The 14,850-nt window shown below is 37.2% G+C and overlaps 1 pseudogene across 1 annotated transcript; it reads left to right on the top strand.

The window, feature by feature from the left end:
- Positions 1-744: 744 nt before the first annotated feature.
- On the top strand, positions 745-1,804 carry APOOP5 (apolipoprotein O pseudogene 5; annotated as a pseudogene). The gene has a single exon (NR_028471.1). The product of NR_028471.1 is annotated as an apolipoprotein O pseudogene 5 (transcript).
- Positions 1,805-14,850: the final 13,046 nt, after the last annotated feature.

Below are 14,850 nucleotides of genomic sequence, written 5' to 3'. Positions count from 1 at the left end.
GCACTTTGGGAGGCCGAGGCGGGCGGATCACCTAAGGTCAGGAGTTCGAGACCAGCCTGACCAACATGGAGAAACCCCATCTCTACTAAAAATACAAAATTAGCCAGGCGTAGTGGCGCATACCTGTAATCCCCGCTACTCAGGAGGCTGAGGCAGGAGAATCACTTGAACCCAGGAGGCGGAGGTTGCTGTGAGCCAAGATGGTGCCACTGCACTCCAGCCTGGGCAAAAAGAGCAACACTCCATCTCAAAAAAACAAAACAAAAAAAAAAAAAACTGACACCACCTTTGTGAGCGAAGTATAATTATTCCCATTTTACATGTACAATATATTAGTTACAGTTTCACATGTACGATATATCAGTTAGGTTTGTTTTTGGTTGCAAGCAACAGAGACCACTGCAATTAACTTAAAAATGGGTGTTAGTGGAAGGTTCATAGGCAGCTCCATAGAACTGAAGGAGAACGTAAACAATCAGATATTGGAAAGAGAATACAAACATTGGAAAATTCGGACATTGGAATTTTGGAGGTGTAGTAACCAGGACAAATGGATAGTGCTTTGGGGATGACTACCAGAATAAATCAGTTCTAAACCTTTTCCATATTTGTGTCACTTCGCTCAGGACTTCATTTCCCTGTAGGGAGAGACTGGTGGACTTAGCTTGTGGCAACAATTAACACTGTGTGCCAGAGAGGAGGGCAGGATACCTGAATTGAAGGTTCCATCAAGAGCACAGGCAGGGGTGATTGAACCAAGCCTTCACCGCACCGAGTTTGCCCTACTGCAGTCACCCACACCGCGGCTCGCTTACGGTTGGAGAAATCAAGGCCCTACCGGGGCCACCTCTCTGTTGTGGGCGTGGACGAGGCTGGGGTGAGCCTGCCGGAGCTGCAGTTGCCAGCGACATGTTCAAGGTAATTCAGAAGGGTCCGTGGGGCCAGCCAGCCGGAGCTTGTTCACCTTCAGAGTCTGTGCAGCACCGAAAAAGGACTCACCTCCCAAAACTTCCGTGAAGGTTGACGAGCTTTCGCGAGGGCAAATCGCAGTGTGTGGAGGAGTCAAGGAACCAGCTTGAAGAAAGCTTCTCACAGCTCCGACACTTATTGCGAGCCATACACAAGCTGGTGTCAGGACACGTACTCCCAAAGTAAGCCCAAGATGCAAAGTTTGGTTCAGTGGGGGTTAGACAGCTATGACTATCTCCAAAATGCACCTCCTGGATTTTTTCCGAGACTTGGTGTTATTGGTTTTGCTGGCCTTATTGGACTCCTTTTGACTAGAGGTTCAAAAATGAAGAAGCTAGTGTATCTGCCTGGTTTCATGAGATTAGCTGCCTCCCTGTATTATCCACAACAAACCATCGTGTTTGCCCAGGTCAGTGGGGAGAGATTATATGACTGGAGTTTAAGATTTGTGGAAGGAGAACTTTCAAAAGCCAGGAAATGTGAAGAATTCACCTGGAACTAAGTAGAAAACTCCATGATCTGCCCATCTTAACTTATTTAAGTTACCTATATTAAGTTACCTACAACTTAATCAGTTATAGGTACACATTGGAAACTCCACAGAGTAAATCAGTATTTCTACAGAAAAATGTCAGAGAAGTCAGTATTGAATGTATTAAATTGGCTTTCTTCTTCAGGAAATACTAGATCAGACCTCTGTTATCTTGGGTGGTACCATCCTACACGCAAACTAATCTGAAATCCTTTCACCTAGGGATAATGTACAAACCTTAGAACTCCTCGTTTTCATGTTGCTATTTATTTACATAATTAAAACCCAAATTAAAAAAAAAAAAAAAGCATAGGCAATTCAAGATTTCTGTAGTTCCCAAAGAATAAAGTGAGGTGCTGAAGGAAGGTGGAATGGCTGCTGAACAGACTAAAAACACACATAGGGTAAATGAATATTCTCTACAATGATGCCCAGGGTTGTCCAGTGACTTGCCCGAAACCCCTATCAACAGAGTGGCTTAACCCTTACTTAGACCACTCGATTTAAACTGAAGAGTTCATGTGTGTCTAATACACCTGCTAACCGTCTCCTATGGGATTTCAGTCCTCCCATACACATAATGAGGGAATTGGGCATATATGACCTTTCAGGGTTCTTCTAACTTTTAGCATTCTCCTCTAATGAACCAGCCTGTTGTTTTGAGGCAATGGATGGCTGTTTCTATCATTGACAACAGATATACTCACTTCATTCTTATTTACATAGACAGAAGCTGTGTAGTGACAAGGTCTCTTCAAGGCTGGAATAATTCCTTAATAATATGAACAAAATAGCATCTGGTATCAGTCTTGTCCCACTGACTTGACTGTAGTGATTTAAAGCTTTCATTCTTTGAATTCAAAATCTAATTTTTAATGCACTTTCTGTCAGCTGTCTTCATGGATTCTAAATGAGTTTCTGTCATCCTGACAGAGCCCCAGATAAATTGAAACTTAACTAGGGAAAAAAAAAATAAGTGTTAAAAAATGATTTGTTCTGAATAGAATAAATGTGATATATATTTTGGTTATTTTCTCCCTAAATTGTCATTGGCTTCTCTCTATTAGTGAGCTGATGAGCATGTGTGATGATCAACTACTTCTGTAATTTACTGCCTGACAATAGTTTGTAGGCAAATTGCCAGGCTGACTTTGACTGAACCCATTACGCATTATTTCTTTTCAAGTAAACTGACCTGAAGAAAAGACTGAAATAATTATTTTTTCAGCATAACCTAAAATTATTGAGTAGTCCAGCTATTATTTCCTCCAGGTGTTCACTTTAATTGGATATGTAATCATTTTACATGAAAAAAAGCCATTATGATGGCCAAAGGTGGGTGAGAAGGCAATATTGTGGTTCTCTTTCACTGGTATAGAACCAGGAGACAAGAACGTTAAGCCAAGGAGAGAGCAGGATGAGGAAAAATAAAGAGGGGAGACAGAGAAGGAGAGAGATGAGGCATGTGGCATTTTATGAGGTTCAATCAGCATACAAAAGTCTAACTACCCAAAGCATTCTATACTAATACTCCAAAGTGCCTGGTTCAAAATACATATAACCATCCACATTTGTAAAGTAATGTACTACTTAAATGTAATGTTGCTTGTTGCTTCCCTCTTCAGGGTCTCAAAATACACTTTAAGCACAAAGAGCTTTATTTATAAATTAGGACCTGAGGTTTCCTGAGGACAAGTGATTTAATCCATGTCACACAGCTGGTTGATGGCAGACACTACATTAGGACCAGGTCTCTGCCTCCTCGACCCAATGTAATTTCCATATCACCTCATTGCCTTTACACCAGAGATCCTTAATTAACTTCCACCAGATGTTAATTACATTCTTCTTTCCATGAAACTTTCCTGAGAAAGTTTTTGTTGTTGCTTTTGAGAATGTTCTGCCCCAAGTAACACTATAGTTTCTGAAAACAGCCTTGAATTCAGCTGATGTTGAATTGAGGCCACCCTACCTTGCTGGTTAAGAAGATGGAGCCCTGGTACAATCTTAACTGAAGAAAATTCCTCAGTCTCTCGAGAAGTGTCATGTGGGCACCCTCGGCTTGGGTAACCTGACTTCTAATATTTCATTTGTTATTTGTTTTTGAGCAACACACTTAAAATATTTAGACATCGTGTCATTAACTCTATTCTCTTAAGAACTAAATGAGCTAATTCATGGGAAAACACATGTAAGATGTTAATAAGATGACATTTCTCCAAAGGGAGGGCCAATATGTACTTCTAATACTCGTTGTGATGACTGAGCATTGTGCAGGAATGGAAAGTGTCTGCTTATCTGTAGCAGATGCTGTTAACCCCTCACCCATGTCTCCTCAGGTCCCACCAATCCCGTACTAGCTGTGGCTTCCAAAAACAAGCACTTGAGGGCTTTCTCTGGCATTCTGGGCTGGTGATAGACACAAGGATTGCAGGGCTTGATATTCCCAAGAAATAGCTCTCTGTCAATGACAGGTAAGAGTTGAAGGACCAATACCCAGTTTCTTCTCACTTCAGGTGGAACAGTTCTAAGGAATCCTTTTTAAATTACAGTGCTTGTTGTACTACAATGTTAATAATCTTAAAGAAATAAGCTCCAAAGCAGCTGAATAAATCAAATGGGATATTTTCATGCTTACTCTCTCTTCTCAAGCCTTCTACATCCCTAAGGTCATAGAAGCAGAGGGAATGTATCCTAATAGCCACACTTGTATTTTAAGATCTAATGACTGTCTAGCATTGTTGCCTTCATGCAGACTATGTAGACATGCTGGATAACTAACCTTGGCATTTTATAACCCTATGAGAAGACTTAATGCCAAGGATATATGCATATTAGAAAATTTTTTCTATAAGTTATAATGCTAAACTTATTGGTGGAGGTATAAATCTTGAAAAATTAAAGAGAATTGCCTGAAGTTCTTCTATATTTTTTAAATGGTTGATAGGCTGAAAGGAGAAACTAGAGTAAAAAGATGGAAATTTATTTCAGTTTCAGAGACTATCAAATCTGTGTTTTGTTTATTTTGTCTTTGCTTCAAGCTTGAACTAGTTCATTTCCTGACTCATGGGACATATTAAATGTCTTATGACCAATAAGATATTATTAAAAATCTTCTGGTCTAGTGATCTATTTCAAATGTCTATTTTAAGTTACTACAGAACACTAAGGTCACAGAAGCAGAAGGGATGTATCCCAGTAGCCACATCTATACACATCTACATTTTTAGGTCTAACTTTATCTGTGTCTCTTATCTACATTGTTGTACATTTATTCATAAAATAACCCAACTACACATACATGTATGTAAGTGTGTGTGCATATATAAAATATGCAGAGATGCACACATTTTTTTTAAAACCAAACTGCTTGTGTTTGAATCCCAGTTCTGCCACTTGTGATCTGTGTGAGTTACTTAATATCTCTGTGTGTCAGTTTCCCTTTTGTAAAATAGGGATGACAATAGAATATACCTCTTAGCGTTATTGTGAGAATTAAATGTGTTAATATATATAAAGTCTGTGATATGGTTTGGCCCTGTGTCCCCACCCAAATCTCATCTTGAATCGTAATCCCCACGTGTAGAGGGAGGGAGGTGACTGGATCGTGGGGGCAATTTCCCCCATGCTGTTCTCGTGATAGTGAGTGAGTTCTTATGAGATCTGATGGTTTTATAAGTGGTTGACAGTTTCTCTCTTCACATGCTTCTCTCTTCTGCCGCCTTGTGAGGAAGGTGTCTGCTTTCCCTTTGCCTTCCACCATGATTGTAAGTTTCCTGAGGCCTCCCCAGCCATACAGAACTGTGGGTTAATTAAGCCTCTTTCCTTTATAAATTACCCAGTCTCAGGGAACTTATTTATAGCAGTGTGAAAATGGACAAATACACTCTGGCACAGATTAAGCACTATTAACATTTATATTATCTTAGCATATATTCTATCAACTCATATATGTATTATATGTGATATATATTATATATATCACATATAATATATATTATATATCACATATAATATATATTATATATCACATATTATATATAATATATCACATATAATATATATTATATATATCACATATATATTATATATATCACATATAATATATATTATATATATCACCAATATAGATAGAATTTGTCCATACATATTTCTGAATCCTATACAGGTGCAGCATAATTATCATATGCACATAGCATAATGAGTACACAATGTGACTTTGGTGATGATGCTGACTAATCCTGTTAAAAGGCAGTCTCCCTCCTGTGGGGAGTTAAACGGTCTCTCTGGGTGCCGCATGATAGATCCAACCCTGAATAATTAAAAATCTTCGTAGCACCACTTGAAATACATCTTCCAGAACCATTATTCAATTCTCCCCTTACTGGTTAAATTTATTTGCTTCCATTTTCAAATGAAGCAATCAATCCCTTTTCAAAGAAATAAATAACAAAAATAATAACATAAATAATCATAAGCTGTCACATTAATTGGAGTCATTTTCCTCCTGGGTGTCTCTAGATGGTATATTCCTTCCCTGATCAGCCTGCTGCTTTGAGATTAATATTCAGTGCACCCTGCAGCTGCTCTTCCCACAGAGTTGTGAGGTGAAGGATATAATAGGGGACAATGAGAAAACTCAACTGTTCAGCATTATGGTCACTGAGGAGACTCTGTGCCATGTTACTTACAGAAAGCACTAGAGAATTATCATTGTACAGAATTGAAATTATTATCTATTGGGATAAAGATAGAACAAGAAAAACATGATAGAAAAATAGAAATCTTAATTTAAATTGTCCCCATGGCTACTTCCCTGGGCTTATCTCTTCTCCCTTCCTCTAGCCACTAAACTCCAGACCATAAAACTAAGGTCACCTAACCAGGTTTTGTCACATCTTTCTTACCTTTGCCTAGCATTCCTATAAATTCCTTATCTATTCTACACAAGGAATTCAAATACTATCTTCTTATTGGAATATTTTTATTCTAGATGTGTTTATGTAAAGATAACTGCAGGCTTGATTTGGATGGAGAAAGGCTAAAGGAAATTAATATTTATTTAGGGCCAACTATGTTTCACACATTTTATTTCATGTGCATTATTGTATTTCATCCTCATCTCAATTATTTGAGATATCGTTCTCTCCGGGGTATAATTGAATGATCAGAGGCTTAGATGTGTTGAATAATTTGTACAATGACGCATACTGATGAACTACACAGCCAGGATTTGAACCCAGGCTTACCTTACTCCCAAGTCCAAGCTGTTCTATTTCTGCTGCACTGCAGAAATAGCAGCCATCGATAGAAGAAAAACAAATCTGATTTCTGTTATCAGAAATACAAGAGCTTGTCCATGATCATTTCACAAAGTTATTTTGTACCTTAAAAGTAGCCATATGTAGAACGCAAGTGTAGAATTTCAAAACATTGCTCCAAAATTCCTCCCATTTTCCACAGAAGGCAGGGTCTATGTGCCCTGGCCTAGAATCTGGAAGAGTTGTCACTGCTTCTACTCATAGAGTGAAGTAGAAGTGATGCTCAGTGGTTTCTGAGAAGGGCCATAAAGGACACTGGGACTTTCTCTATGTTTGCTGAACACTTCCCCTTAGAGACCAGAACTACAATAAGAAGTCTGACTTCCCCGAAGCCACCATGCTGTGAAAAAGTCAAGTCACATGGAGATGCTTTCGCTGGCAGTCTTTGTCTTTGAGTCACACCAGCCAGAATCCACATGTGATTAAATGAAACCCACAGCCCTTTAGCCTTCCCAGATGAAGACCCAAACATTGTGAAACACAGATGGGCTTATCCTGTGCTCTGCCTGGATTCCTGGCCTCAGATTCTGTGATCATAATAAATGAGTTGGTTTAAGCTACTGAATCTTGGCGTATTTGTTGTACAGCAAAAATAATGGAGACAAATAAACAAATTGAGATCCAGCAGAATGCAAAGCACAATTCTAAATATTCTGAAGAAAACAAAGCTGAAATACGTGTGGTCCCTGAATATAAATCTACAAAGAAAAAAAGGCATATATGCTGTTGTTTCTGATTCTGAAAGAAATCAGAAAAAGAAGAAAGTCTCTTTCAAGTTAGGTCTAAAAATAAAAAAATAAATAAGTAATATTTATAGAGAATCCAGAGTAGACAATAATGTTCCAAGAAAGGAAATCATATGAACAAGCTACATAGCTTCTTTTGGAAATGACACTTGGAACAGAATAATCAGAAAATTTAATCTGTAGAACACAGTGAGAAGTCAAGGCCAGGCCATTGGGAATTTCTGCTTGGAAATTTTGGGTTTATTCCATACGTAATGGAGGACCCTTGAAGATAGTGAGCTTTACAAGCGTATTTTCTCATAATATCCACAGGCTAGACTGGAAGTCTAGAAAAGATGGTAGAAAAAATAATGAACAGCTTCTTTCAGTATTCCAGATTATGGATGACAAACACCCAAATACAGTAATCACAGGAATAAAAGAAATGGAAATGTACAATGTACTTTTTTAGGGCAAATAGAAGTGACTCAACCAAAGATAAAAAGAACAGCATGAAGCACCTGACAAGTCATAGTAGAAGAAATGCATGGTAATAAGAAATAATATTTTTACATATTCAGTACATTTTGATACCAAACAAGCATGTTTTTCTATTTTTATATGTGTAGAGAAATCCAGTCACTGCTGATATGAGGCAAAAAGTACGTTAGAGATTACTTTTGACTTGTCTGGAGTCAATTTGGTGCATGTGCACTGGGCTTTTATGTCCCTTTGTATTTGTTTCTAGACATAACTCATGGAAATTATTTTTATTTCTCATCTATTCACATTCTTTCAATACAATTCAATTATATTAATACTTAAAATCATTGTCTTCAAATGACTTGGTTAATATTTTTTTGCATTTTCCTATCTTAATTCCAATATATTTGAAATTATAAGCCTGAAAGAGGAAAAAAAAAAACCTAAAAACTAAAGCAATCTCTTCTTGCCTTGTTTTGTAGAGACTACATGTGATTTCCTAACCATTGAAATGCATTGGCCATATTCTAGCATCCTTGGGTATGAGGTCTACATACAGTTTGTCGCATCTGCTTATTGTTTACTAAAATACTTAGAGATTGATTTGCTTGCAGTAATAAGGCTTTAGAGATGAAAGATAAATTTTAAAAATATAAAAATAGGAAAATGAAACATACGTAAGAATAAAGACAAGAGAAAATAATTCTTAATTAACTCAACACATAGTAATTTAATACTATTTGCCAAATACTGTTGTAAGTTCTCAGAGTACAGTAGTCAATAAAACACACAAAGTAGCTACCTTCAGAAAATTTACAGACTCACGGTGGGAAGGTTTAGTAAGAAAATAAGTAAGCAGAACTCAAGTATGTTAGATGGTTACATGTACATTGGCAAACAGTAAGCAGATGAAAGAGGAGAAAGACTTTTGGAGGCAGACACGTGGAAGGTGGGGACAATGTGACATTTGATCTGATACTCAAATAAGCAGAAGGAGGTTAGAAAAAGCACATCACACCGACTTTCTGGGAGAAGACATTTCAGGAAGAACAAACAAATGTAGAGTCCCTAAGGCACAAATGAGCATACTTGACATATTTGGGGAAGAGTAAAGAGGCCTGGGTGGCAGGAGAGGAGTGATCTAGCAATGAAATGAAGGAGATTAAATTAGAGAAAGAATGGACAGTGAGAGACTGTCAGATCATAAATGGTCTTCTAAGTCAAAGTAGCTCCAAGTGAAATAAAAGTAGCTTGCACTATGATTTGGGTCCTGTCTCTGCCACTGCCTAGCTCCATGATTTTAACAAATTACTCAACATCTAAGCCTTAGTTTTCTCTTAGAGGTAAAATTGGATTTTGCTTGTAAGTTTCCTGTGGGGGTCAAGTCAAATAATACAAAGTGACCCTTAAAACAAGTGCTTAGTAGAGTGACTGAAAAACAGAAGAACCCCCAGCTAACAGTATTACTATTATTTTAGAAGATAATATGTAATGAGAACCTTAAATGTACTAATTTGGGGAATGAGGTGGTAAAGGTAGTATCCTCAATTTTTAAACTAGAAAATAAAACAATTTTAAAAGGCTCCTCATATGCTCCTGTGTGATGTTACATGAACTGATCAAGAAAGGTGATGATGAATGGCAAGAATTAACAGAAATGCACTTTACCTTCATTTCCTACCTAGAGCAATCCTCATCATCATACATGCCCAAGACCTTTTCATGATTCAATGTGCCAGACAGAAAGTATGACCTCCTGCGATAAATAAAATCATTCTCATCCCTATCAATTCTGTTTAGTGCTTTGTTAGAGCTTGAGGATCAGCAAATATTTATCTTGGATATTTAAAAGAAGTGATCATTTAACTCATTTTGCATTATATATCATTTTTCCAACTTTTGAACTCAAGTCGAAGTCCAAATCTTTGAAGTTTATTTCTATTCAAAGTAGTATTACTCTTGAAACTTATCTGACATTTGGAAATTTTCATAATTTTTAGGGATAAGCATCAACCTTAACCTTGAGTTTTTTGTTTCCCTCTTTGCAGTGGAAGCTCCTACTCATTTCTTTCTGGCCTGCATTCCATGCGTGGGTGGCGATGAGTGGGATGGGCTTGAAAAGGAGAAAGGAGGTGTCTGACCCAAATATTACCCCAAATTGAGGTAATAGACATAGGTGCCCAAGTACCTGGCGAGAGTCAAGTATACCAACACCAGCTCTGCAGGCAGAGATTCTTACTAACTACATCAGCCTCTTGAAATATTTTGGGAATTCCCATATTTCCAGGAGCTTACTTTACTTCTGATGCATTTTCCTGTATATTCTTCTTTAAATTTAGATATGTCTCTTTCTTCTCTGTTCAATACCTGTATGGTTGAGATTGGAATAATATCATATTTTTTTGTCAAAAACTTTTTGGGGCTCTGTACTGTCTACAAGAGTTTTTTCTCTTTGTGTGAGATAGCATCGGGTTTTACATCTCAACAGTTCCATTGATTAACTAGGTATAGGAAATGCTGGATTAAACCAAGGTAATTTGATTTCTTAGTGAAAGACTTCTCAGATCTGCTTAGATGCTAATGTACATTTTAACTTGTCAAGGGGAAGATATCAAGTCAGAATCTTCTAATCGTATATATCCATGGGTCACATTTTCGAGGGACAAATACAGCTGCTAGTGTCCTGGGAAACTTACTTTGGGGATTTCTAGGTTGGATTTCAAGATTTTTCACTTTGTAGTACAATTTACTATTCCATACTTTTCCTCACTCCTCCTAGCGCTTTTCATGCTTCCACCACACAGAACTAACCCCGTTTCTTGAATACAAGGTGCTTTTTAATGCTCTATGCCTCCAGTGCAGAGAAGACGCAAACAAGTAAACAAACCTTTTTAATGCAAAGATTATCTTTATGTCTTCTTGTATTAATCCGAGAGCCTAGCAAAGCCATTAGCACTTGATCACTAGAATCAATAATTAGTCAATAATAGTCAACCTAGAGATTATTCTTATTTCTTATATTTCTTTTTGCTTATTATGTAGGTATCTAATTTTCTTAACATCACAATCCAGATCTTTCACTTTGATGAAAAACCTACATACAGAATCATTTTTCATGTGAATATAAGAATTAGCACTCTTTTGTCTGAAAATGTACAATGTTAACTTTTCTGCAAGATTTGATTAATTTATTTGTAATTAGAGATTGTCAGTGTAATTGTATTACATTTTCATATTTTGATTTTCATTACTGTGAACCCATTGAAAGAAAGTCTGTGTAATAAAGGGACAAATAGAGAAGGAAAGGAAGGAAGGGGGGGAGGGTGGGAAGGAAAGGAATTTGTAAATATCAGGAAATAGATAAAGTAGGTAAAATATCTCCTGGTAATTTAGTGATGTATACACAAATGGAAAATTGGAAATAAAATTTGATCCCCAAAATTTTAGTCCTAGAAGTGTAATTCAAGTAAATAACCACAAGTGTAGGTGGAATATATGTGTAACACACACACACAAACACACATATATATGTGTGTGTGTTTATATATGTATGAGAAATAATTACAGCTTTACCCGTAACAACAGTAAAAAGAAACAAAAATGGAAACCACAACATTTTCCAACAATAGAGGATTAACTAAAGAAATGAGATTAAATTATATGAATATTTTAGGTAGCCACAGAAATAATAGTATCAAACTATCCTTCAAGGTATGTTTAAAGGAGTCATCAGGGGATAACTGATGTAATCTTAATCTATTGATTTTGTTTTATAAGTGTGTGTAGTCCATATATATATATATTTTTTTTGGAGACAGAGTCTCACTCTGTCTCCCAGGCTGGAGTGCAGTGGCACAATCTCGGTTCACTGCACCCTCCGCCCTGGGGTTCAAGTGATTTTCCTGCTTCAGCCTCCGGAGTAGCTGGGATTACAGGCACCTGCCACTGCGCCCGGCTAGTTTTGTATTTTTAGTATTCTAGTATTTTTGTATTTTGTATTTTTGCCATCTTAGCCAGGCTGGTCTTGAACTGCTGACCTCGTGATTCACCCGCCTCACCCTCACAAAGTGCTGGGATTATAGGCGTGAGCCACTGCGCCTGGCCATGTAGTCCATATTCTAAAACGACCCAACTTTGAAAGCCTTCCAGGTTTCTGTGAATATGGAATTATTGTTTTGCATATTCCTAGTGTCAAGATATGCACAAGATAGTTGTCAGTGTTCTCTCATTCACATTCTTTCTTACCTCAGGATTCCATGACCTGAGGTGCTAAGATTCTTTGGGACTGATTGGAAAGTAGAAGAAGGCTCTTGTCAAATGAGCTGTGTCTGCTGTGCCTCATGGTCCTATTTGCAGACCTGGAACAGATGTGCAGGAAGATTCAATTTACCTTAATTCATCCCAGTTTAATTAGCAGCTGAGTTACTCCTGGCTCCATAATAGCAAGAAAGTGACAGTTTGTGTAGCATAGCGTCTGTCCTCTGGAAACAGCTTTCCCCTCTGGAATGCTACTTGATCAATAGAGAAATCTTACCATGTTAACACCAGAAGTGACATACATCTACCATCAGTTAATTCTAAACTAAAGAGCCATTCTCAGCTTAAAGTAAATCTTATTTTTATATCTTAACTTGATCATATGCTATACTATTGGAGGGAAAATGGCAGATGAATTAAAACATAATTCTCCACCCAACCTTGAGAGTTCAGTTCACATTTGCAAGTTCTCCATCACTGAGAACAATTTTCAGGAGCATAAGCTGTTATGAAAATAAAGTTAAGGTAGAGTGAACAAGTTTAGGAATAAATCTATTATATCATTATATTAACTAACTAGAGAAATCCAGAGAACTAACTAAAGACTAGTCAAATTCCTCAAGCCTTAAAAAATCACTATTTGTTTTTTACATGTTAAGCCATTGAAGATGAGTTTCCTGGAGGTTCTCAGTGAAGTGTAAACTGTGTTCAGTTGTGTTGAGGATAATGTGACTGCTAAGAGTCTCCCTTGTTTTTTCTTTGTTTGTTTTCTGTTTCATCTTCCTGGTTATGTGATACATTTACAGGTTAACTCCTGTCTCCAGAGGTTAACTCCTGTCTCCCATCTCCCTTCTCCCCAGTTTCCTTTTCTAGTCCTTTTCTATATACATGTCTTGGAATATTCTTTCTCATATGCATTGTAAGACTACAAGCACAAGTATACCTTGCTCATTTTCTTAATGGGCCCACAAATTGGTTGACTTATATGAAAACTCGTTTCCTTCAGATTGCCAAGAAGGTGTACAGAAATACAACAACATATATCACATTTCTTATACAGGAAAATATCTGATAGGAATGCAGTAAAATGTCAGGGTACATGAAAGCATTAAATACTTCGAAATTAGATTAGCCAAGTATAGATAATGCTACTTAATATTTGTAGACATTTTCACCCTGAATTTATGTTCTTACATTGTGTTTACTGAAAAAATATAAAGGCAGATCACTTCATAATATAGGTATAATCAGAATACACGGTGGTTTAAATGAATGAGTCATAACCAAAAAGTAACTGGACAACTAAAATCAGAAGTCACTAGGAGAGGAAGAAAACACTGCAAGATCATCTCACTAACTAGAATATCTAGCATAACATCAAATTGCTGAGGAATTTGAAAAAAAACAATGTACTACATGCTGTACCTCACCAATTGCTCCTACCCAGAACCTGGTCTTCTTTGGGTATCAGGTTGGTTCATTTTCACTCAGCTTTCCCCATTTCATGCTTTCGTGACATTGTTTCTTCTGTAAACATGGGCCCTTGCAGACACATGTGAAATCCTTCCATATTGCTGCCTCCAGCATACATTCAGATGCTGAAGATGGCTTCATCCATAAGATTGCTTCATACTCTTGGTGGGCATCCCATGTACATGATGTTCTCTTTACTATGATGCTGCTGTGTCACTTGTTCTGTTGACATTGTTGAACTCTCTAAAGTCACCTGTGCTCTCTCAGGCTATTTTTTTTTATGAGCCCCTACCCTTCCCCTACCACCCGTCTCCAGCTCTAATGAGAAATAAATGTAATGCTTGTATAATGCATGTAAAGAGAAGTCAAAAAATGTGACACAAAAGAAATGTGTAGAGAAAGGTCATACACAGCTAGTGAACAGCAAATGTTTGCCTCAATGCCATTAAGTTCCTGTTTTTAATAGGCACCAATAATTACTTCATACTGCTTGTAACTTCCATAATACAGTGGTTTGCATAAGTGGTCCAAATCACATTTCTAGACTATTACATTTTATTTATCTTATTTACATACCCAGTACTATGGCGACTGTGTTTGACAGGCAATGGCCTTTATGTCAAATGGATTTTCTTTCAATAATAAAGTTTTCATTATTCTTCATTCATCAGATATTTACTGGACACCTCCTATGAGCCAGATAATGTGCCTGTGATAAATTCAGCACGAGTATACTCTTAAAGAATTTCAATGGAAAGAGATACTTACATTGATAATTGCTATAATTTTTCATTACTTTTATTAATGGATAAGTGGAGAATGCTATGGAATTACATACATATAAAGGGTACCCCTTAAGTCAATATCAGAGGATAATTTTTCAGATCAAAGAAAAGTCTAAGCTGAACCATACAGGGTGCTTTAAAGTTGGCTATTCAGTCATTCATTCTATTATATAATAAGGAGACAGGAGACTGGCAGGGCCTATTTTCTGGTCACAACCCTACTGACCAAAATGGGATCTGGTTCAGACAGGATAAAGTGAAGAAATCAGCTGAAACCAGCAGATAGTGACAAAAGGGATCCCAGC

Source organism: Homo sapiens, chromosome 16 (assembly GCF_000001405.40).
Source record: "Homo sapiens chromosome 16, GRCh38.p14 Primary Assembly".
Classification (NCBI taxonomy): domain Eukaryota; kingdom Metazoa; phylum Chordata; class Mammalia; order Primates; family Hominidae; genus Homo; species Homo sapiens.
This window is presented reverse-complemented; position numbering and strand designations above follow the sequence as displayed.